Here is a 24,375-nt window from a genome sequence, read left to right as displayed (position 1 = left end):
AAAATATGATGGCTGGAACTCTAATTGGCTTATTATATCATAAAGTAACTTCAAAGATGGAAGGCAATGTTGAGAATATAAAGACAAAGGAATGAGGCTGGGCATGGTGGCTCACACCTGTAATCCCAGCACTTTGGGAGGCCGAGACAGGTGGATCACTTGAGGTCAGGAGTTTGAGACCAGCCTGGCCAATGTGGTGAAACCCTGTGTCTACTAAAAAAATACAAAAATTAGCTTTGCATGGTGGTGGGCACCTATAATCCCAGCTACTTGGGAGGCTGAGGCAGGAGAACCGCTTGAGCCTGGGAGGCGGAGGTTGCAGTGAGCACCGAGATTGTGCCATTGCATTCCAGCCTGGGCCACAGAGCAAGACTCCATCTCAAAAAAAATAAATAAATAAAAGACAGACAGACAAAGGCATGAGGCTTTCTAACGAGGAACAATACTGGCCCTAGCTCAACTATCTTTGGACTTCTTTTCCGTGTGAGACTAAATTTCTCATTTGTTTAAGCCACTATAGCCAATTCTCCACTACTAGCAGCCAAATGCAATTCAAACTTGAGGCTTGAGGTTGGCAATGCTTTCTGATTTCTTTCCTATTGATTTTTCAGGGTCAAATGTCAAATTTTATCACAACTACCAGCTGTTCATTCCTTAGTGTTTTGGTTTAAATGAGCTTGATAGGTTTTCCAGATGCCTTCAGTGGGAAAAGATGAGGATCATATCCTATCTAGCCAAGGAACAAAACAGCCACAGGGACTGTGAGTAGCAAGAGCATCAGGAACAAAATCTTGGGTAACGTTTCTTGGTGGGAGAAGGAAGAGGATTTTCATCTTGTTGCCTTCGTGTGAGAATGCGGTTTCAGCTGAACATATTTTTCTTTGGCCACCCCTCTTCTAAGAGGCAGACATTTGCTCTTTATCTCTAGTGAGGTTCATTCTTCAAGCTCAGAGTGGTAAGTGCAATGAAAAACATCTCATTAAAGGTTTTCCCCTAGGCACACAAGTCAAGGAAGGTATTTGTGGGAGAATGGAAGATCCTCACCTAGCTTTTCACATTCGCTCATACCCTCTCTGCCCCCAATTAATGCAACAAGGTGCTTCTCCTGCTTGCTCCCAGTCTCCTATGGGATTCACCATCTCTGTCAATATTTAGTCGCTTGATTTTCTTGTAGATACCTAGCTGATCTGTGGGTCTCTTTTATCATCTGCAGTGCTTGCTGCCAAAAGGCAGTTGGAAAACTCAAGGCTGTAGGCAGAGAAGAAGGTTGGGTTTAGAGGTAACCATGAGAGATTCTGCCATATGGAGGAGATGGCACGTCACTCAAATAAGGCACATTGTCCTCATTAAGTAATTTCTCATCCCTCAGCTCCATCCAACCCTTCCGAATCTCCAATGTCTATTATTCTACAGTCTAGGTCCATGTGGACACATTATTTAGCTCCCACTAAGTGAGAACATGTGGTATTCGAGTTTCTGTTTCTGAGTTGTCTCATTTAAGATAATGGCCTCCAATCCATGCACGTTGCTATAAAAGACACGATTTTGTCCTTTTAATCACTAAAGAGTATTCCACTGTGTGTGTATATATGTATCCCACTTTTTAAAAATGCAGGCATCCATTGATAGATGCTTGGGTTGATGGCATATCTTTGCTGTTGTGAATAGTGCTGCAATAAACATATGAGTGCAAGTATCTTCTTGATATAATAATTCCATTTCCTTTGGGTAGATGCTTAGCAGTGAGATTGCTGGATTGAATAGTAGGTCTATTTTTAGTTCTTTGAGAAATTTCCATACTGTTTTCCAGGGAGGTTGTATTGGGTGATGGTCATGCTAAAAGTCCAGACTTTGCCACTAAACAATGTACCTATGTAACAAAACTGTACTTGTAACCCTTAAATTTATAACAACAACCAAAAGAGCAGCAGCAACCCAAGTGGATGAAATAACTGAGCACAGTCACAGGAAAAACAAGAAGCATAAGAACAGAATCCTGGGGGGTGGCAGAAGGAAGGAGATTCAGACTTCCATTTTCAAAAAGACAAATGGGGCTGGTCGCGGTGGCTCACGCCTGTAATCCCAGCACTTTGGGAGGCCAAGGTGGGTGAATCGCCTCATGTCAGGACTTCAAGACCAGCTTGACCAACATGGTGAAACCCCGTCTCTACTAAAAATACAAAATTAGCCGGGCGTAGTGGCGCATGCCTGTAATCCCAGCTACTCGGGAGGCTGAGGCAGGAGAATCACTTGAACCCAGGAGGTGTAGGTTGCAGTGAGCAGAGATCGCGCCACTGCACTCCAGCCTGGGCGACAGAGCGAGACTTTGTCCTAAAAACAAAAACAAAAACAAAAACAAAACAAAACAAAACAAAAAACGACAAATGATCAGGTTTTGAAAGAAAAGGAAGCCACGCTCCTGTGTCAACTTTGGAGGTAAGAGCTTTTTTCAGCTTTGTTCCAAAGCCTCCCCTAGAGGACCAAGCCTGAGGCAGTTGCTGCATGGGATTTACCCTAACTCCCTTCAACAGTTTGAGAGATAGGTTTTCACCAAAAATCTCACTATTTAAAGTTCAATGCTAAGTTCCAAATATTTCTGACTCCTAGGAAGGAGGCTAAGAAGCCGATTGCCTTTTAGAAAGAGAGACTTGTTTAGGTCGGGTGCGGTGGCTCATGCCTGTAATCCCAGCACTTTGGGAGGCAGAGGCAGGCAGATCACCTGAGGTCACGAGTTCGAGACCAGCCTGGCCAACATGGTGAAACCCTGTCTCTACCAAAAATACAAAAAAATTAGCCAGGCGTCGTGGTGCATACCTGTAATCTCAGCACTTTGGGAGGCCAAGGTGGGTGGATCAGCTGAGGTCAGGACTTCAAGACCAGCCTGACCAACACGGCGAAACCCTGTCTCTACTAAAAATACAAAATTAGCCAGGCGTAGTGGCGCATGTGTGTAATCCCAGCTACTTGGGAGGCTGAGGCAGGAGAATCGCTTGAACCCAGGAGGCAGAGGTTACAGTGAGCCAAGATCATGCCACTGCACTCTAGCCTGGCTGGCTGGGCAACAGAGTGAGACTCTGTCTCACAAAAAAAAAAAAAAAAAAAAAAGAAAAGAAAAAGACTTGTTTAATACTTCTTGATTTTTATCTCCTGGCATGCGGAAACGAAGCACTTATGTGTCCCCCACTGAGCACACCACAGCTGGTTCTTGCTTATTCTGGGTCAACTTCAGGTTGGACACTGACCAACAGAAGCCGCTCTTCAGAAGAGTATTCCAGACACAGAAGAAACTTTACACACTGCTGTGGCAGGGCAGAAAACAGTACAAAGGTTTAATATGATGAGAAAAACCAGGGAAGAGGAAAGCCCAAGATGGCTCTGTTACATATTTAAAGAGCTGCCACAAGAGGGATTAGAGTAATTTTGTGTGGTTCTGGAGAGTAAAATTAGAGCTGATAGGTAGGAGTTATCCTTTGAGCTCAAATGGTTTGAACGGTCTGAAACCAGAATGGGATTGCATGCATGGCAATGCTGTCCCTGTTGTCTTTTGCTCCCCACTTTTCCCAATAACCAGAGGCAGAAAGTCACGATAGGAAAAAGGAACGGGTATTTCTCCATCCACTGGGAGGTAAGATGAGGTGACCTCTAACAACCCTGCCAAGGCCACAATTCCATAATTCAAAGCCAGCTAATTTTTTGGATGAAGAGAGGACCTGAAGAAACTAAAGGCACTCATGTTGGAAGCCTGTATTTCTCAGCACAGCTCATATGACCGTAATGCTCTGGGAAGAACAGATTGAAAAGTGGGGATGAATGAATTAATGATGATCTCAAAGACTCTCTGACATTGCCATTTTTAGCAACTGTCAAACACCGCATAAGTACAACATACTCTGTCTTGAGTCTTGATCGTCAATAGTGACAAATGCAATTAAAGAGCTATTCCAGGAGCAACCTTACTCTACTTTTATTTTTCACTTCAAACTCTGGCGATTTCCTTCTCTACACTGCTAACGTTATTATGATATGGGAAATGACTAAAATGATGACCCTCAAAAAAGCAGGGATTTTTGTGTGTGAAAATGAGTACAATTTCCCATAGATAGGTAAGGAAAGAAAAGATTTTATATATATATATATTTTTATATATATAAACATATATAAAAATATATATATATAAAAATATATATATAAAAAATCTTTTCTTTCCTTACCTATCTATGGGAAATTGTACTCATTTTCACATAAATATATATTTATATATATTTATATATAATGTATATTTGTGTATAATATATATTTATATATAATGTATATTTGTATATATTATATATTATATATTTATGTATATTATATATAAATATATATTTATGTATATTATATTTATATAATATATATTATGTATATATTTATATATATTTATTTATGTATATATTTATATATATGTATTTATGTATATATTTATATATAATATATATTTATGTGTATTATATGTATTTATATATTTATTTATATATACATTTACATAAATAAATAAATATATATTTATATATGTATATATATAGAGTGTGTGTGTGTGTAAGGTGTTGTGTGTAAAGTGTTTCTATTGGAATGCTAAATATAAGTAATCTTAATTAGGTTATTTTAAATAGTAACTACAATTTACCTTATAAAATAATGCTAAAATGAGTATATCTAGGCCCATTTCTTGCCCATGGCAGAATGGGTTACCACTCAAAAAGTTACCAATGTTCCCCCAAATAGTCCTGCATCCCTTCAATATCTATAATGGGTACCTTAAAATTAAACATTTTCAAATTTGTATTTTAGGGCCTTAAACTTTAGAAGGGTATGGTATAATAAAAATATGTATTAGTCTTTGCCCCTGTTTCCAGGCACAGAGCTACTAGAACTTGTGGAATTTCCTGAGTAATAGGAGTTTTTTTTATTATATATAACGAGCCCCTTTGACCATACCTGGGTTTATGCTAATGAAGTGACCCTTGAATGGGGAAGGGCTAGGTAGCTTCAGGATGGCCCTGGTTACCAGAAAGACCAAGCACATGGTAAGAGGGTTGGAACTTTCAGCCTCACTCCCTACCTCTGGGGAGACAGGAGGTGCTGAAGATTGAGTTCAGTCTAAATCACCAATGGCCAGTGATTTATCAATGAAACTTACACAAAAGCTCGTATGAGATGCAGGGAGCCTACAGGTTGGTAAACACATTGATGGGCAGGGAGGGTGGTGTGTGCCAGGGTGGACACAGAGGTTCTGCACTCCCCTACACCCATACATTTCCCTATGCGTCTTTTCCATTTGAATGTTCCTGAGTTGATTCTTTTCTAATAAGCCTGTAATTATTAATGCGCTTTCCTGAGTTCTATAAGCTATTCCAGTGAATTATCAAATCTGAGTGAATTATCAAGCCAGGTCATGAGAACCATGGAATTTGCAGTTCGCTGGGCAGAAGTGTGAGCAGCCTAGGCAACTCATTTGTGGCTGGTGTCTGAGGCAGGAACAGTCTTGCAAAACTGAGCCATTGACCTGTGGGATCTGCACTAACTCTGCGTAGTTACTGTCAGAATTAAATTGGATTGTTGGATACCCAATTGGTGTTGGAGAACTGGAGAATGGACTTGGACAACTGACACATATTTGGTTACAGGGAAAAATGCAACAAAACCCACAAATAGGGTAAGGGTCATACCCTAAGATACAATGAAAATGTCTGTGTTCACCCTATCAATAGCTTTATGATTTTATAGACTTACATTCCCACAAGCCTTCACATTTCTCATATAATTGTTGTTTATTTATTTTCACTCAGCTAAATTTTGTGCACCAAACGAACATTGGGGAAAGAGTGAATTACATTAAAAATTTCTCCTATGACATGAATTAATTTGCCTAATTATGACATTAGAGACTTTCAACCTTTGAAGTTCTGTAGAATAGAAGCGATGATGGTGAACTGGGACACACAGCCTGTCCAGCACAGCATATGGCCACCACCCCAGGGGACTGACTGATGGGAGAGAAGGGAAGGTGCACAGAGTCAGTGTGAAGGGCTGAAGGCAAGGGATAGAGAAAGAATGAGGATTCTGGGTGCCCCTCCTGAAGGACTCGGGTTGGGGGAGAGGCCTTGAGAGAAGGGAGCAGCAGGTTTGGGTAAGTTCATTATATTGTGCTCTTTTCCACCTCTCCTCTCTAAATGGTGCTCAGATATCAGAACAGAGACACACACCATGAAGTGTCTCCGAAAGTCTCCAGTTTTGAATTTCATCTCATACCAAGGTGTCCACTAATCTGAGCCATTCCCCTTCCTTTATCCATGCTTTTAGCACATATCTCACTGATATTCTCAACATGTCACCAGTCTTCATTCTCAGTGACTTCAATATATGTGTTTATGATTTTCCAGCTCCATGGCCTTTCAGTCTGTTGATTTCTTCTCTAAGGGTTCTTGCTTTCCACTTGCCTCAGTATGCAATCCCATGGTCATTACTAGTAACTGCAACCTCCCCTAATCCCCTAATCTTAAATCCATGCATTTCACTTCTCTGTCCACTACCTTCCTCCTATCTAGTACCCACTCTCCAACAATCCTTTGATCCTTTGTCTGTTCAAGCACATTAGGCTTTCTATTTTCTGTCCTCCTCTTCATCCAGCTTAAATTCCATGGTAAATCTTTATAATTACCTCCTTACATATACCCTTAACTCCCTAGCCTGTTTTTGTTATACTCACTTTGCAAAACCTCACCTCTCATTAAATGCAACTTCCTTCCTATTCTTGGTTGATATCTGACAGCTGAATTTGGCTGGAGAAAAAGACAATGTGCTGATGGGTCTTACTGTAAATTCATGACCAGAGATCTCTTAATGCTACCGGGTAATCACCCCGCATCTCCCTGGTGCATCTATTCTTCCACTCTCCCTGGGAACCACCCCTCATACCTTCTCTTTACTCTTCAAACCTCTAGGCACCTTTCCCCATCTTCATTCCCAACTGATGATCTTGCTTCCTACTTCACTGAGAAAATAAAAGCAATCAGAAAAGGACCCCAAAAGACCTCTCTCTCCCTCTCTCTCTCCGAATGTAGGGGTGTGTGTGTGTGTGTGTGTGTCACACACAGTCTCTGCCCTCCTGTCTGTTGCTGGGGATGAATTTCCTGAGGCTGACCTTTCGCCTGCTCAAGGGCATTGCCTTAGAAATTGTCTCTCTCTTACATGTTCATAGCCCCCATCTCTATTGGATCCTTCCCATTGGTGAAGAAACAACCTGACAAGTTTCCTATGTTAACAACTCCTCTCTTGGCCACATTTCTGCTTCTAGCTAGCGTCCCATTTCTCTGTTCTCCTTTAGAGTAAAACTTGAACAAGTTGCCTGTATTGCCAGATCCAAGTCCTTTTCTCTCATTCTTTTAACCCATTCCAAAGAGGCTTTTTATCTTCAATACTTCATAGACACTGCTCTTGTCAAGGTCACCAATAACTAATGAGCTGCTTAATATAATGCCCAGTCTCAGTTCTCATCTTATTTACCAGCAGCATTTGAAACAGTTGGTCATTCTTTCCTTCTGGAAACTCTTTGTGAAGTTGGCACTCAGGATACAACATTCTGTTGGCTTTCCTACTGTCTCGTTGGTTTCTCCCTCTCAGTCTCATTTGCTGTTCCTCTTCTTCTACCTGACCTCTTAGTACTGAGGAACTCTTCTGTCTCTTCCTCAATCCTTTACTTATCTCATCTAGTCTCACAGTCCTTAAATGTGTCGATTACTCCCAAATTCATATGTCTACACCAGACCTCTCCCTTGAACTCTGAATCTTATATGCAATTGTCCATTCAACATTTTCACTTTTCTATTGAATAGGCAACTAAATTTCAACACGTCTGAAAGTGATCTCCTGATCTTCCCCTCAACAACCTCACTCCAACCTTGGCCAAATCTGATGTATCCACAGTCTTCCTCAATTGCTAAAAAGGCCATTCTTCCATGTACTCAGGCAAAATTCCTGGAATCATTTTTGACTCCTCTCTTTTCTCTCATTCCCAATTTGGAAATTCCAAGGGCTCTACCTTCAAAACAGACCCAGAATCTGATAACTTCTGGCAACCTTCACTGCTACCATCTTGGCCTCAGCCACCATCAACTTACAGAAAAACAAACAAACAAACAAACAAACAAACAAAAGGGCTGGGCAAGGTGGCTCACGCCTGTAATCCCAGCACTTTGGGAGGTCGAGGTGGGTGGATCACGAGGTCAGGAGATTGAGACCATCCTGGCTAACATGGTGAAACCCTGTCTCTACTAAAAAATACAATAAAAATTAGCTGGGCGTGGTGGTGTGCGCCTGTAGTCCCAGCTACTCAGAAGGTTGAGGAGGAGAATGGCGTGAACCTGGGAGGCGGAGCTTGTAGTGAGCCGAGATCGCACCACTGCACTCCAGCCTGGGTGACAGAGTGAGACTCTGTCTCAAAAAAAAAAAAAAAAAAAAAAAGAAGGCCAGGCGTGGTGGCTCACGCCTGTAATCTGTAATCCCAACAGTTTGGGGAAGCCGAGGCAGGCGGATTGCTTGAGCTCAGGACTTTGAAACCACCCTGGGCAACATGGTAAAACCCCATCTCTACTAAAATACCAAACAATTAGCCAGGCATGGTGGCCTGCGCCTGTAATCCCAGCTACTCACGAGGCTGAGGTGGGAGAATCGCATGAGCCCAGGAGGCGGAGCTTGCAGTGAGCCGAGATTGCGCCACTGCACTCCAGCCTGGGTGACGAAGTGAGACTCCGTCTCAAAAAAAAAAAAAAAAAAAAAAAAAAAAAAAAAATATATATATATATATATATATATATATATATATAAAATAAAACCTGGTAACATGCATATAACATAAAATTTGCAATCAGCGATGTTTAGTACATTCACGATGTTGTGAAACTACAATCATCCAGTTCCACGATGTTTTCATCACCCCAAAAGGAAAGCCCAGTGCTTAAAAAAAAGCATAAAGCAGTCCCTCCCCATCACTCTCTCCCACCCCTGACACTGCTAATCCACTTTCAGTTTCTATGGATCACATTCCACTCTTGCCTGGATCATGGAGAACCTCCCACTGGTCTTCTTCCTTCCCTGCTGCCTCCACCTCTTGCTACAGTGCTCAAAGAGTGAATCAGATCACATTACAGACTCCCTCAGAATCTCCAGGGGCTTGTTATCTGACTCAGAGTAAAAGTCAGAGTCCTCACAGTGGCGTCCTAGGCCTGGACTCTCGGCCCCGTGTTGCCTCTCTGACATCTTCTACTGCTCTTCCCCACCCCTCCCTCTGCTTCAGCTACACTGGCCTCCTTTTGGTCCCTTGAACATCCCAAACGCACTTTTTTCTTGGTGCCTGCACCAGACGTTTCCTCTTCCTGCAACACCCCCGCCCCAGATCTTTCTGGTTCCAAACGTTACTGACTTCAGGTCTTTGCTCAAATGTTGATTTCTCAGTAACATTCTATCTAAAAACACAACTCCACCCCACCCTGACCCTCCTAATTCCCCTTACCCCGCTCTATATAATTTACTTATATGGGTTGTTTATTGTTTATGCACCTCTCCTAGCCCCAGAAAGAAATCTCCCTAGGCCAGAGAGCTTGTCTTTTCTGTTCACTCCTATCGCTTAAAGCCTAGAAGAGCGCTTAACACACAGTCAGGCAGTATTGGTTGAAGGAATACGTTAGTGAACAGCAGAGGGGCAGAAGTGGGTCACTGCTACCTTTATTTGACCAACTTCCTCTGACCTGTGGTAGCCCGTAAGGATGGAGGAGATGGCCATGTCACAGACCATACAGAATCATTGCTCCAGGAAAGCAATGCCCAGAGCTCCTACAGCAGGAACCATTGGTGTTGGGAAGGAGAATGGTGGGGGCGGCTATCGCCTCCTTTATCTCACTGTTAACAACCCAACACCATCTTTCCATTTTATTCTGTTGCCTAAACTAGCCCCACAGAGGGGCAGACAGGCTCCTAGTGCTCTCCTCCGTACCTGTTGTTGTCCACGTAGCGGATCAGCATGGGGTAGAAGGCATAGAGATCTCTGCAGAGGACCGCGAACTCGTCCAGGATGAGGAGTTCTGCCTCCTGGGTGTCCCCTTTGCCATCGGCTTTCAACTGCTCCTCCTCCTGCACCGTCTTGACAGCCTTTTTCTTCAGCTTCTCCAGAGTTGGGATGAAGTGGCTTCTCAGCAGGTCGGGCCTGGCTTTGCTGATGATGGGCTGTGCATACACTGCGTTTACAAAGAGCCTCCCCGTCATTTCACGTATTATGGCAATTGATGAAAATGAAAGACATGACTGAAAGGTGAGGCCGTGGAATCCCATCGACTCAGGATGGCACCTGCCCCTTGTTCCCTTCCTCAATCTTCCCCTTGATACTTCCCTCTCATAGAGTCACCTTGAGGGATGGGGAACCGAGGCCACTATGGGAGAAGGTCCATATTCCTGCTCTGCTCTTCCAGGCCATGAGGAGCCCCTGCCTCCCTCGAACCTCTCATGCACACATGGCCTATGCCACACCCCTTAGCTCTTCGTGACAGACTATTTTGTATTATTTTATAGTCCATTCTTTTTGCTTTCGGCTCACTAGCAGATTGTAAACTTCCTGAAGGAAGGCTTTTATTAACAGCAAGTACTGCACTAACAGCGGGCACTCAGTATATGCTTTCTGGTTATTTTACAGAACAATCTGTTGTTAAAAGCACATTAACCCGACTACCATCCTCAGCCTCAACACTTGAAACCTGCCAACCTATTGCCTGGAGACTCCTCTGGGCTCTGAGGGAGGGATATAAGTCTGGTATCAATTACAAATGAACAAAAAGAGGCTGGGGTGATCACTAGAAGTTGAAAAGCAGAAACAAGCAATCAGAGAAAGAGCAATATGCCTTTCCATTGTTTTTGTTTGTTTGTTTTTGTTTTTTTTTTTTAAAGACCAGAGTAATTGTAAGAAAAAAATGAGTGAGTGAGAGTTGTGAACCACTGACAATCTACATTCACCTTTTCAAAGTGTCTTTAGCTTAAGGCATTTCAGCTGGAAACAGCTTGCATTCCAGCAATTTTCTTCAAAATATCACTTTATATTTTACTTTTATAAAACAGATACTTTTAGAAAGAGAAGGTTAATGGCACTCTCTGCATTCACCAAGAAGTTGTGACTTCTTAGCCTTCTTCAATGAGCAACTCTGCTTTAGATATGTAATTGGAATGGCTACATCTTATGTGGGTGATTTGGGGTTACTACTTAAAATTGACTTTGTTTAGTCACCAAGAAGTAAGTAGCCTGTCTGAATGAAGTCTAGATTCACCTGTGGAATAACAGGCCGAACTTCAGTTTCCATCAGTGGCCTTCACGTTGTGACACTTTCCCTCTGCGCACCTCTAGGGAGGTAAGGGAGGAGATTTTTTTGAAACCTTTCCTTCCCTTAATTCAGATTTACCAAGTAAAACTCATTGAAAAATTACCTTATGGTTAACAATATTTTAGGGCTAATGGGTAATAGAGGAACACCAATTAGCACCCAAGATATTTATAATTTTGATCTTAGTTCATCTGTGAGACAGGAAGAAGCAGTAACTTTTCTTCCTTGGTCCTGCAGAAGGACACTGATTCCTTTGTCCAGGAAAGTAAATACCAGTGTTGGATTAATAGTTCCCTTTAGCTTAGCCATTGTTTTCATGTCCAGGAGATTATATGGGTAAAGATGTTACTGGTGGACTCCACTACCTAAATCATAGGTCCATCAAAAGCAGTAATTTTGCCTTAGCTTCTATCTCCTTGGACTGTAGTTTGACACAGAGGACACAAAATATTTGTGGTTTCCTGACTGTGGAAAGTATAGTTATTGATTTTCCAAGCCTGTCCTTTTTTTGAAGTTGCTTCAGGAAGAGAAAATTGGCTAATAGCATTCATTGAGAGCTGGCTGTGTGCAAGTAACTTTGGAGGGATACAAAAGAAAAAAAAAAAACAACAAAGTGCCACTACCGTGAGCCCGCATGAGACAGTGTCTTAGAAAGCACAGAGTGAAATACAAATGCAGAGTGACAGTAAGGAACTTATAGTGTAGGTCAGATGGCAGTGAGTTTTATACAAGTGGAAAACACACAGGATTACTTACCAGGAAAATTCTGGACAATTATTACTGTAAGAGCTAATGGGATTCTTGAGTACCAAAATCAAATAAAGCAATGCTCATTGGATTTGAGTGGAGTTGATTAAGAAGGGCTTCCTGGAGAGTTGAGGGGCCTGGATGAGTAGGGGAGTGGGCCGGGAGCATTGGCTCCAGGAAGCTCTTCAGGGGAATATGTCAATTCTTTTTACTGTTAAGCAACTGGGGTGGGCATGGGGAGGTTTAAATATAGAATAGAGCTTGTGCAAAACCATCTTGGAATTAATAATAGAGATGAAAAAAGAATCCAGTTATCTTGGCCCCTGGGCTGGGGACTGGGGAGAAAGGGGTCGGTACCTGCAATGCGCTTCATCCAGGAGGCCTCATCGATGCCCAGGTTGTTGTTGATGATTTTCAGAATGTTGCCCAGGATGAGACTGAGGTGTTCAGAGGTGACCTTGGTGCAGCATGGCCCTGTGCTGGGGGGCAGGTTCTCAGGACCCCGCTCCCACCAGTAGGACAAGTAGTTGCAGAGCATGGGTAAGATCACCTCGATGACATGGGGCATCTCTGTGTACCGGGCCCCTGACTCGGCCAGGTCGTTGATTTCCTTCATCAGGCCTTCCAGCTGGGGGATGTCAGGACACATGTCTTCTACCGTGTCTGGCATCCCCAGAACTGATTGAGAGGAAGAATAAAGGGACAGAAATTCAAAAGCACAGTGGGTGCAAGCTTCCTTCTCTCTGCCCCTCCTTTCCTTTGGTCTTTAGGAATAAATTTCTAGAGCTTCACAGCAGTGAGCTTGGATGTGGAGTGGCTTTTGTCCTCCAGCTGTCTGTGAACAGAGTGCAGCTTCCAGAGGCTGCATTATCTTCCTAGATGTCGTGTTGAGGTGAGGTTAAAACAAACACATGGTTAAAGGAGTACAGCAGACACAAGGATGAGGGATAGTTAGTTCCTAAGACTATCCTGCGATGAAGCCAGTCTCTTGGCTTCTCCCTCTTGGCTTGCCTGCCTGGGCCTTAGTGTGTCCCCTGCAGGAAAATCAGTAATCAGAGGAGAAAAGCAACTGATCAGTGTTTAGTTCCAAGCTGTGGTGCCATTGCCTGGATCACATCTATACTCGGCTTAGAAAAGGAAAAATAAAAGTCCACTCATCTAATAGTCCTTCAGCTGGACCAGAAACAACAACTTTCCATCCAGCTGGAATTCTGGGGGGAAAAGCATCGCACGTGGACTGATTTCTGGCTTCACAATAGAAATGATGGATGACCTGAGGTGGCTTGATTGACTCCCTGTCAATCACTTAATCCTTTTTGTTTCCAAGGACTGATTTGTAAGGAATCGTGGGAGCCCTATCTTTTCCTCACCCTGAATGATTGAGGGTGCTGCTCTAGACAAGGACACACAGGCTAAAGTATCAACAGACAGAGTTCAATATTCAACCAGGGAGGGTTTTCAGATGCAAGAACTGTAAACAGAAAAATCCAGGGCTTATCTGTCCTGCTTCCCTTAAGGTAAAGGACACTCTTTCCTGCAAGATGGGAGGAAGACTGGAAGCATCCTGAAGTTCCTGACATGTTAGAGGATAACAAGGGCTCTGAGTGGAGGGACGTGGACAATTCTGAGTAAGAGCCACAAGCCCAAAGGTTTGCATACGCACCCATTGATCTAACTGCTTCCTACAGAATGTGTCTACTTCCTCCTCAGGCCAAACTTCTCAAACGGGGGCAAAAACATCCGGCACTGAAGGAGCTAGGCAGTCTGGGAAGCCACAGGAAAAATGTGGTGTGCTTTCCCAGAACATCAGTTCACTGGAAGATTTGAGGAAATTATTTTTGATATTTGGAATCAAATGCAAAGTTCTCATACATTTCCAAAGATAAAGCAGAAGACTGCAAATACAAATGTATGTTTAGTGAATTGGGTTATGCCTGCAAGGCCCTTTGCCATTGGGATTACCATTGGCTTGAGGTCTTTCTTCTCTAGATTTTCAGATTTTATATCCATTGGAATTGAAGGATTAATAAATAGGAGAGGCCATACCAAATTCCTTGGCCTTAAGGAACACTGGTCAATTGAAAGGGACTGTCTCAATTTCTCTCATGGTTATAGTGCATGGAGCAGAGATACAGAATAATCCCAGCTATCTTGGAGAGAATGAATCTGCAGCTGAGACAAGTGATTCTACCTGGACAGGATGTGCAGTTGCAAAGCAATGGATCCCAGCAGTCTCTATGCTATGGAATAGGCCCAGTGAAGCACTATTAGCCTTTCCGTAGTGATGACTTTTGTTGCTATCACTAGAGCCTTCTGGTGGATAGAAGGCTAAAAATCTCTCCTCCTTGGATGTCAGGGGTGGACCAATATCTTTTAAAACCCAGACAACTGAAAAGGATTAATAGCATGAAAGCCAAAGAACCCTGAACTCTTGTGATTTGCAGAAGGAAATTATGGGTCAGATATGGTCATTTGCAGATAATGAGTCTGTCCTGCATCTTGCAGCAGGACAACAATGGCCATGGGTAACAAGATCATGGGAGTCTGGAGAGACCCTTGCAAACAAAATAATTTTATACACATACTCTCAGAGTACAGAGGTAAACACAGGGAAGTCAAACATTCTACCTTGAGGTTCTACACACAGAACAATGCCACTGCCATAGACGCAACTGAAATTTACAACTATTTGCCGTGGGATTATAAACGATAAGGCTCAGGTGCGTTTGTTTAAATGTCACATAGACAATACATCATCATGAACACTTTTTGCCCGCTGCCTAAGAAAAACAGAGTTGCTTGAGGTTGCTGCACTGGAGCCATTATAATGACCTTTAAAAGTTATTTATACGTAATTGGCCCTTGAGTGGAACAAACATTTGTGATTCAGGGTGTTTTGTATTTCAAATGCCACAGCATAAACCCACAGAATGAATTCCGAGTTAGCTGCTAGAAAAACAGCCTCAGCTGTGTCCTCTTAGAATCAGACGCAAGACTGTTAGGGGGAATCTTTAGAATCACTGTCCTTTTAACTTCTAGATCAATAATTCTCAAAGTGCAATCCTCCTACCAGCAGCACCAGCATCACCTGGAGACCGGCTGAAAATGCAAATTCCTGGGCCTCACTCCAAACTGACTTACTGCATTAGAAACCCTAGGGGTGGGGCTCAACAGTCTTGAACAAGCCTCCCGGGTGATTCTGATGCGCGTTAGAATTCAAGAATCACCAGATTAGATTCTAAAGTCTTGTGTGCCTCACTTTAGCACCTCTTCTCTTTGCAACACAGACAGATGGCTTACATTAGAATTGGAATAATCAACCAAAGAGAAAAGAGTTCCAATAGGGTACAGAAGAAAAGCAAACTGACTGGTAATAGGATGCTTTGGTCTGACATCTAGTGTTCTGATTAATAGATCACTGCCACCCATAACTAAGGATTTAACTAGTTTTGAATAACTGACTCATAACAGTATTAAACTTTTTCTAGGTATATCTTAATAATTTTTGGATAAGGAAGAAAATGCACCAGGATGTTATAGGGCATCAAAGATACTAATCTGAGTAATTCTGCTGGCAAAGCATCAAGTGTCAATTAATAGAGATGCCCAATTAACTGAAGACATGATAAATCAGTTCATACTGTATTTCTAAATCACAGGCTCACATCACCTGTCACCTTATACATTCCTCCCCGCCCTTTATCCCTCAGGCCACCCACTTTGTAATGAATGAAGTCTACCTTCTTACAGCTCATTAAGCCAACAGTCATTCTCCGGCTCTAGATAAACTTTTTAAGAGCCATATACACGGTCAGCATCCACTCTTTGCTAAAGCCAGTGATGAAAGACATGGGCTCAGGGGAGCTGGACATAGAGTCCCATAGTGTGTCGCTAATGGATAAAGGACTGTGTCATCTCTAATTACAACCTTGTCTCTTTTCTTCCTTTGGAATATGCAATGGTGGGGAGTCATTTTTTATTTATGAATATGTCTTATCAAATCAATGCAAAGGTATATAGAATGAAAAGGAACACTTTTCAAATAGCTCTTGGGAAGGAGCACAATGCAAGAGACTAATTCCCCTCCCTCCCAAAGCTAACCTAGGCTTTCCTCTATCTTTGTCACATCCTCATTTCACCCTGCTACTGTGCCTTTATGAACTAAAGAGCAGAGGCAGTTTCTCTCTTTCCCCAGGTGAAGCTCTACACAGTGCTGGTATAGAGACAGAGATACACTATTTCTCAAGTCACAGTTGAAGCAGAATAAATGTATACATATCCAGAACTGTCATGACTGGGCCCCATGTCCCTTTGGAGTCAGGAAGCAACACCTGGGCTGGCATTTGCCTGGAGATGTCACAGCCACTTCTCAACTTCACCAAAGTCTGCTCTGCTGCTCAGCTTCCACTTTGGTGGAAAGCCAGGACTCATTTGGAATCAGGAGTGGGAAGTAAAAAAAAGGTTGGAAATCCCCCCCCCCTTTTTTTTTTTTTGCTAATTTCAAAGGGAAGAAAGGGTGAGATGAGGCTGAAGCGGTTGAGGAAAGGTTAACTTATAGATTTCATACGGGACTTTGGAAAGTTGAGGCATCTTGGCAATGTTTCTCTTGACTACCTCTGAGAACACTAGTCTCCACTGTATTCTAGCTCAGTGAAAGATTTTTATTAGTGGCCTTATCTGAATTGTCCTGGTGATCATTTCTGGGGGGCAATGTGCTCCTCTTACCTGAAGTAACAAGAAGCGAGTGGGAATAAAGCTGCCATGGCTTAGCACTTCGCATTTTTAGATGAAAAAAACAGCAGTGGCAAAGAAAAGTGTGGCATGAGCCCTTTCTTGCTCAGAATGCTTCTTCCTTAAATCTCATGGCAGTTTGAGAAAGGGGGCTTGAACTAAATGGAATTGCTACCACGTCCAGACATCTACTGGTAGTGTATAGCAATATTTTAAGAAAACATTGGTTCTGAATAGAAAAAGCTCTGGTTGAAAATAATTTACTGTAGCTTGTTTTCCCTTAATATTGATTAGCCTACAGTTGGGTAATTTTTGCTTCAGAATAGATGGAATCATCGCAGTTCTTTCTAGTTGGAGTCCAAGCTTGATTCAAGGCTCCTACTTGAAGCTCCTCTATTCTATTCCCTTATCCTTAGGCAGGATCACAATTAACCCAGATACAAGCACCCTCCAGAAGCAGATTTACAACCTGCCTTGGATTTTAGTTCCAGGATCATTTTACAAAAGAGGGTGGAAAACGTTTCCTGTAGAGGGCCAGATAGTAAATATTTTAGGCCTCGCGGGCCAAACTTTCCTGCCTCTACTCAACTCTGCCATTGTCGTGCTAAAGCAGCCACAGACCAAATGTACGTAAGTAGGTGTGGTTGTGTTCAAATAAAACTTTATTTACAAAAATAGGCAGGGGGCCAAATTTGCCCTGTGGTCATAGTTTGCCACCCTGTTGTGGAACCTAGCGTGTCAATATGTTTGCTAAGAAATATTCTTTCTTGTACACTTTCTCTTCCTTTTGGTGCTTTTCTATGTCTTATCTTCCATGAGGACAAAAATGTGTCATCAGCATCTTTAGAAGCACGCCTCTCCATGGACTTGAAGAGTATAACTGGGTTATTACTGTGGATGTGCACCTTCTGATACCACTCTGGAGAGGCACTGCAAAAAAGGAGTCACATCCCCAGGTGCAGAGGGGGAACTGAAACCCAGAGCAGACAAGAGACCCTGAGGTCTTAGGATGGAAAGGATTTCAAAATCAGCAACACTGACTCCTCACTTTAGAGAAGAGGAAACCAAAGCCTAATTATAACAAAGCCTTGCCCATGCTTATTTCTCCAGTAAGATGCAGACCTGCAACCTAGTCCCTAACCTCACCTCCTGGCTCCTCTCAGACCAAGAAAGCCACAGTGCTGCAGGGCTGCTGCTCCCTGCCTGTGTGGCTCCTCTCCTCTCAGCACATGAAATGGGTTGATGACCTTTGAGGGGAGATACTTACTAGACCTCTCCCTGGGGGTTTTGGTGTTGAAGACCGAGAGTGGATTGTAGCGATTAAGGGTGGGCTCCAGGAATGCCACTGGTATGGCAGCTGCCAGCGAGGCCAGACATTCTCCAAGGGCAGGGCGTTGCCTGGAAACAAAGAAGTCCATTGAGAAGTGTGGCCCCCCACATGCTGGCCCCATGCATTGGCAGATCAGGCCTTCCCCATAGATTAATCCATGGACATCCCTAGGCACTAGGCTCAGCAAGCTTGCATGCACTTCTTCCCCTCCTCTTTCTCTAGACACTAACCAATGCTCTCACTGCTTAGATCCTAGTTCTTTTTTTTTGAGACGGAGTCTTGCTCTGTCACCCAGGCTGGAGTGCAGTGGCGCGATATCAGCTCACTGCAAGCTCCGCCTCCCAGGTTCACGCCATTCTCCTGCCTCAGCCTCCCGAGTAGCTGGCACTACATGCGCCCACCACCATGCCCGGTTAATTTCTTTTTCTATTTTTTTTTTTAGTAGAGACGGGGTTTCGCCATGTTGGCCAGGATGGTCTCGATCTCCTGACCTTGTGATCTGCCCGCCTCGGCCTCCCAAAGTGCTGGGACTACAGGCGTGAGCCACCACGCCCGGCCAGATCCTAGTTCTTAACTGGTTAAGATGATATAACACACTGTGCGGCTTTGTCCCTCTCTCCCAGCATGTGTGAGAGCAAGTTCTGCTGGTATCCAAATTGAGATGGATCCTTCCCTGTTCTCAAAAATGCTTTGAAATCTGTGTAATTTCTCTGTGTCTCTTCTCTGCTATGGATGGAGCCTGTGTCCACTAGTGGGAACAGTAGGTAGCACACCAAAGCACCAATGAGACACAAAAATAAAAGACCTGCCCTTACAACAGAAACAATAGGTCCTAAAACCTACTGCTTGATTTACAGGAGAGACCTCAGATAACGGTTACTCCTTTCCCTCTTTTGTACAAATAGTTGACTGTCCACCATATCTTAAGGTCTGGTTCTTAAGTCTTCCTGTGAAGCAAGCAAACAAACAAAAACAAAAGGCTTGAGATCACACCATTGCACTCCAGCCTTGGTGACAGGGCAAGACTCCAACTCAAAAAGAAAAAAAAAGAAAAGAAAAGAAAAATTGTGATCTTAACTGGTCTTGAAGAAAAATGACTGCACAAGACTATGATAGAATCTGCAGACAGCAAATCTAGGGTATATAGAAGTGCTCTCCTTGAGATATAAATCTGCTGAACTAGAGAGAAGGAGGAGGGAAGGGTGGGTGAGTTGGCAGAAAGCTGTGCATTCCTTCGAAAAGCCACCCAGTCTTCATTCAAGTTACCAAACATATTTTAAAAAGTGATCTTTTAAATTACTATAAGGGGAAGTTAATATATGTGGTTTTATGTTTTATCTTCTTCTTAGGCTTGGCTGATAGCCTACTTGGCTATGAAGCATTTGAGCCGATAACTTCAAAATCAGCCCCCAGTCAGCAACACTGGATTGACAGGTCCTCAGTCAGGCAATCTCTTCTTAGCTGATGGCTCAGTCTTGTCCTTTGGATAAATGTTTGACTGCTAAAACCTCCCCACCCAGGACTGCTCCAGAGGCAGAGTGGAGGCCCTTGGACAAACCAGTCCTATTGTGCCCTGTGTATCAATGCTGCCCAGAGACGGAGACTGCTGAGACGCAGGTGATATTGGCGAAGCTTTCACAATGCAGCTTCACTTCTGGGCAGGCCCCAGGCCAGGCCTATTCCCCTGCCTTTCCTCCTCAGCACCTGCTCTTCCCCGATTATTTCTCTTCTTTACTAAGTTCCAGGTGGTGGCCAGGTGTGGGAAGAGGGGCATCATTTTAACTTCAGACCTGAGTTGCCAATTCCCTCGGTGACAACTGAGGATAGTGAGTGCCTCTACATATCAAATACAGGCATTCACAAGAGGCAATTTTTTTCAGCTAAGAGTTTTACCATCTTTACCACAGTGGCCAATGAGGAGAAATATGGTGTTTTCTCTCTTCAGTCTTGCTTTGTGAATTGGAGGAAGAAATAAGGAGATAAATTGTGAAAGGACAAGAAAGGCCACAGGGAGAGCATTGGGAAAGAAAACCTGGATGAAAATCAGGAATAACAAGGGGTAAGATTTCAAATCTGATAGCTTTATTTATTTATTTATTTATTTATTTTGAGACAGAGTCTTGCTCTGTCGCCCAGGCTGGAGTACAGTGGTGCGATCTCAGCTCACTGCAAGCTCTGCCTCCTAGGTTTAAGTGACTCTCCTGCCTTAGCCTCCCGAGTAGCTGGGACTACAGGCACGCACCACCACACCCGACTAATTTTTGTATTTTTGGTAGAGACGAAGCGTCACCATGTTGGCCAGGCTGGCCTCGAACTCCTGACCTCAGGTGATCCGCCCGCCTCTGCCTCCCAAAGTGCTGGGATTACAGGCGTGAGCCACCGCGTCCTGCCTGACAGCAAATTTTACACAGAGATGAACCTAGGAGACAAGGGGTCCCGAGGTGGCTTGGGACTGGATAGATCCATTATTCTTCTCTTTTTTTTTTTTTTCCTCTTTCTTTGACCAAAATTAAAACCATGATCTCCTGAAAGTGGATTTCTAGAAGGTTAGTCAGACACGAAGGCAGTCCTTGGGGTAAAAGGCTGTTGCTAAGTCTCAGTTCTCTGGTGCTGTGTTGACTCAGGGGACTGGCCCTGCCCTCTCATATTTTAATTACTAACAAACCTGACCACTCCACAAGCTCCACAACAGGGCATTTTCTACTCTGGGGTGCACATTGGTGCTAAGTAGCTTCTTATAAGAAATAAACAACAGCTCTCTTGGCCTAGCTGTTAAAAAGTTAAACCCAGGGGAAAAAAAAAAGTAAAACTGAGAAGTCTGTAAAAGTAAAACCCAGAAGTCTGCCAATTAATGCTCCTGGCTATGAAGTATCAGTGTGAATGACTTTGGTCCCAAAGCCCAAGGAGGGATTGAGCTAGGCAAAGACTTGCTGTTATTAATATAAGGCTCACTGGTCATTAGTGCTCCCCAGCAGGGAGTGTTGGTATGGGCCAAGCTTCCCACAGAGAAAAGCCTACAGAAACAGCTCCATAATAACCAGAGGATATATTGGAAGGGTTTATCATTGGATATGGAAACTCTCTTTATTTAGAGACAAGTTCTTGTTTCGTAGCCTAGGCTGGAGTGCAGTGCTGCTATCACAGCTTACTGCAGCCTTGAAAGCCTGGGCTCACACAATCCTCCCACCTCAGCCTCTTGAATAGTTAGGACTATGGCATGTGCCACCATGACTGGCTGATTTAAAAAATTTTTGTAGCCACTGGGTCTTGCCAGGTTGCCCAGGCTCGTCTGGTCTCGGTTCTCACTGCCTCATACAGTATTTTTCACACAATACATACTTGGTCAATGGTGACAGACTGGACAGTGTTCAGTTTGTATTTCAGTTTTTGTTACATCCTAATTTGACAAGTAGCACTTTCCTTTTCAATCTCTCAGTTTTATTTCCATGTATCTGAATCTTGCCTTTCAAAATCGATTGTTAGGGATATAGGAAAAGACAAAGTCATCAAAGTAATAATAATAATATCTTGCACGTAAATGGTGCTTTGCAATTTTGAAAGTTCCTTCATTTATATTCCAGAGGGTACTAAAGAGAGGAAATAACATGTAACAGAGAAGCAGAAAGCACAGTGGGGACAGGGCAGGACACGGGTCTAGACAGCAGTGATGGTGACCTTAGAGGTTTAGGGAACATTGTGCAATGTCTGATCAGAAATAATTGGTCAAAGGGAGCCAGACAGGATGAAAGAAACAAAATAGCTTTAAAGCATGAAGTAGAAAACTCAGTCTTCATTTGAAACAAAACTGAGACCCAGTGTTTAACGTTACCAAGTTTCAAGCTTTGCTTTCTTGAATAACCCCCATCAAATGCTCTTTAAGTTCATCAAAGTATCTCCAAGTTAAATAATTCGGTATTCTGCATGATTAAATGCACAAACCATTACCCTTCTCTGAAATTTTGTGTCTGCAAACTCCACTTGTCAATGACATTCTCAGTGTTGTTGTCTCAATTAGAAAACATTCCAAAAGAAATGTCTGTACTCTGTTTCAGTGACTTTGCCCCTCACAGTCAACCCTATCACCAAGGTGTCTTGAATCATTTCTATCTACAAAGCATACTCCAGGTGTAGCTGGAAAGCAAGTATGTAGTGATTCCCTTACATACGTTCATCAGTCAAGGAGACGCCAGCAAAAGGTGGTAGAGAAATGGTGGGTTCATTGTACTTTCCTCTGTGAAACCCACAAGAAATGAAAAGAAACTGGGAAGACATCTTGATCTATGCTAAAATTGGAAAATGTACGGTAACTCTGAACCCATAAAATATGAAAACCAAATCAAGTAAGGACACCGAAATGGAAACATACTTTCCAGACCTGGAAGAGGACTTTGGCCTCTGTAAGTGAATATAGGGGTTTTAAGGGGGCCAAAAGATAAGGTTTTGCCTGAAACAATGAGGATGAAGTGTGTGAGCAGGCCACGGGAGACCTGGTGGGCAGCATGCGTGTGGGGCCACGTTCCATTACAGAGTAGCAGATGGGAACAGAGTAGGGAAAAGTATACATGCCATCTGCCATTCTCATAACTTGGACTCCTAGCCTAGAGAAACCCTGGAGGTCAGGCAAAGCGAAAGAAGTAGCCCGTTTTGTGGCCACTGACTTGAGTTCTCTAAGTAGGGAATACAGTTACATTAAATCACTAAACACAAGTCTTATGACTCTAGGATGCACTGAGTTTCACCAACCTCTCACCTGGGCCAGCTGCTTACTTTAGCTGGGGGAGAACATGAGAGGCTGAGCGTTGGTACATTGCTAGGGCTAAACACACGGCTGATTTAGGGAGAAAGAGTTAGTCCTGAGCCAGGTTCTCAGATGCGAAGCTGCCTGCTGTTTCTTCCTGTTCATTCTCCTCCATTTTAAAACACACAAGCACACACATCCTTCTCCACTCCCGAGAACTAGCAATGTACCTAATAACCAACACACAGATGAGAAACATAGTTCAGGGGAAAAAATATTTAGGAAAAAAAATACAGAAAAAAGCAATAGGGACAGCCTTAACCTAGGGGCTTCTCCAAGCCTTGACTTCTACCAACATGGAGCACGAAGCACAGGCACTATTTTCACGGTGCTGCAGATACACAATCAACCTGGAATGAATCCATGAATAAAGGATAGAAAGTCACATGAAGAGCAGTCTTTTTCTGGTCTGACACTTCAGAGTTGACTTTTTGACTTTTTTTTTTTTCAAGAGAAGAATGCATAAGCTTTACAAAAAATTGTACCAAGAAACATACAGACATATGAGTGAATGTATACTTATATACATATAACAAGAGAATGAGAAAGATACTGAGGATGTATTTACAAATGCTCAGTGGGAGAAATAAACTAAAAACATCTGCCTCAAGTGAAATTTGGCATTAATAGAAAAATTTTTGGTTGATTTTTCTGTGATTTGGTATAAAATATGGATAAAACTTTGTCTGCCCAGTTCCTATCCTAAATTACAAATGATTTATCTATATTTTATGTAAAACAGTAAGGAAAGCCTGACAACTGTTAAAGACTTAAAATCATAATAAAAACAAACGCAGCCATTAGTTCCTCAATTTCTTGTATTCTGGAAGCTATTTAGAAGCCGTGATTATGAAGAAACAGACATTTCTACAACATTTTTTGGTTTCTAGTACATGACTTCAAGTCAGTAGTTCCTTAGTTCTTGAAGGGGCTGAAGTCTTTTATTTCATCTTTGGCTATATTGAGAAACTGCAATTTGAATAAATATAAGTTCTGACATGAGACGAGGGTTCACTACCAATTTGTTTGATAAAAGCATTATACATAGAGGCAGCACATAGAAAGCAGATACCGAAGGATTTTCGATTAAGTAATTGTAAGCACAGACCGAATTCTTTCCAGTTTGCTTGTTTGAAAAGGCAAGAAAGAAAACAAAAATCTTCCAAGGATAAGAGTAAGATCTAGTTTTGTTAATACTGTTTATCCTCCCAATCTTCCCCATGGATTAAACAGAACAACAACAGAACACAAGGCATTTGATGCTGAAAAGCAAGGGGTCACCGAGGGTCTCTGCTGTGACAAGCAGATTAGAGAGGCAAAACTGGAACCCACACGCTTCTGCAGTCAGCTTGCTCAGACTCAAGAGTATT

The 24,375-nt window shown here is 42.8% G+C and overlaps 1 protein-coding gene across 19 annotated transcripts in view, besides 1 other annotated feature; it reads right to left on the bottom strand.

Annotated features, from left to right (window-relative positions):
• The window catches only part of RYR3 (ryanodine receptor 3), a 555,136-nt gene that overhangs the window by 67,617 nt on the left and 463,144 nt on the right, over positions 1–24,375 (bottom strand). For all 19 annotated transcript variants that reach the window (XR_001751370.2, NM_001036.6, XM_047432931.1 and 16 more), the window contains 3 exons: positions 18,145–18,275; positions 12,504–12,824; positions 10,028–10,268 (listed from right to left, as the gene is read on the bottom strand). Coding sequence is in view for 18 of the 19 variants with exons in the window: in NM_001036.6 (NP_001027.3) it covers positions 10,028–10,268; positions 12,504–12,824; positions 18,145–18,275 (693 nt within the window). In the remaining variant the exon portion in view is untranslated. The remainder of the gene's footprint in view (positions 1–10,027; positions 10,269–12,503; positions 12,825–18,144; positions 18,276–24,375) is intronic.
• Positions 598–767: an enhancer, noted in NCBI's record as "experimental_39317 CRE fragment used in MPRA reporter constructs". NCBI's record gives its function as "activates a minimal promoter by MPRAs in K562 erythroleukemia cells, with activity observed for the introgressed 15:34090005 variant allele {active_cell/tissue: K562}" and the evidence as "EXISTENCE:reporter gene assay evidence [ECO:0000049][PMID:34662402]".

Source organism: Homo sapiens, chromosome 15 (genome assembly GCF_000001405.40).
Source record: "Homo sapiens chromosome 15, GRCh38.p14 Primary Assembly".
Taxonomy (NCBI): domain Eukaryota; kingdom Metazoa; phylum Chordata; class Mammalia; order Primates; family Hominidae; genus Homo; species Homo sapiens.
The sequence above is the reverse complement of the archived record's forward strand: the minus strand, read 5'-3'. Positions and strand labels throughout refer to the sequence as shown.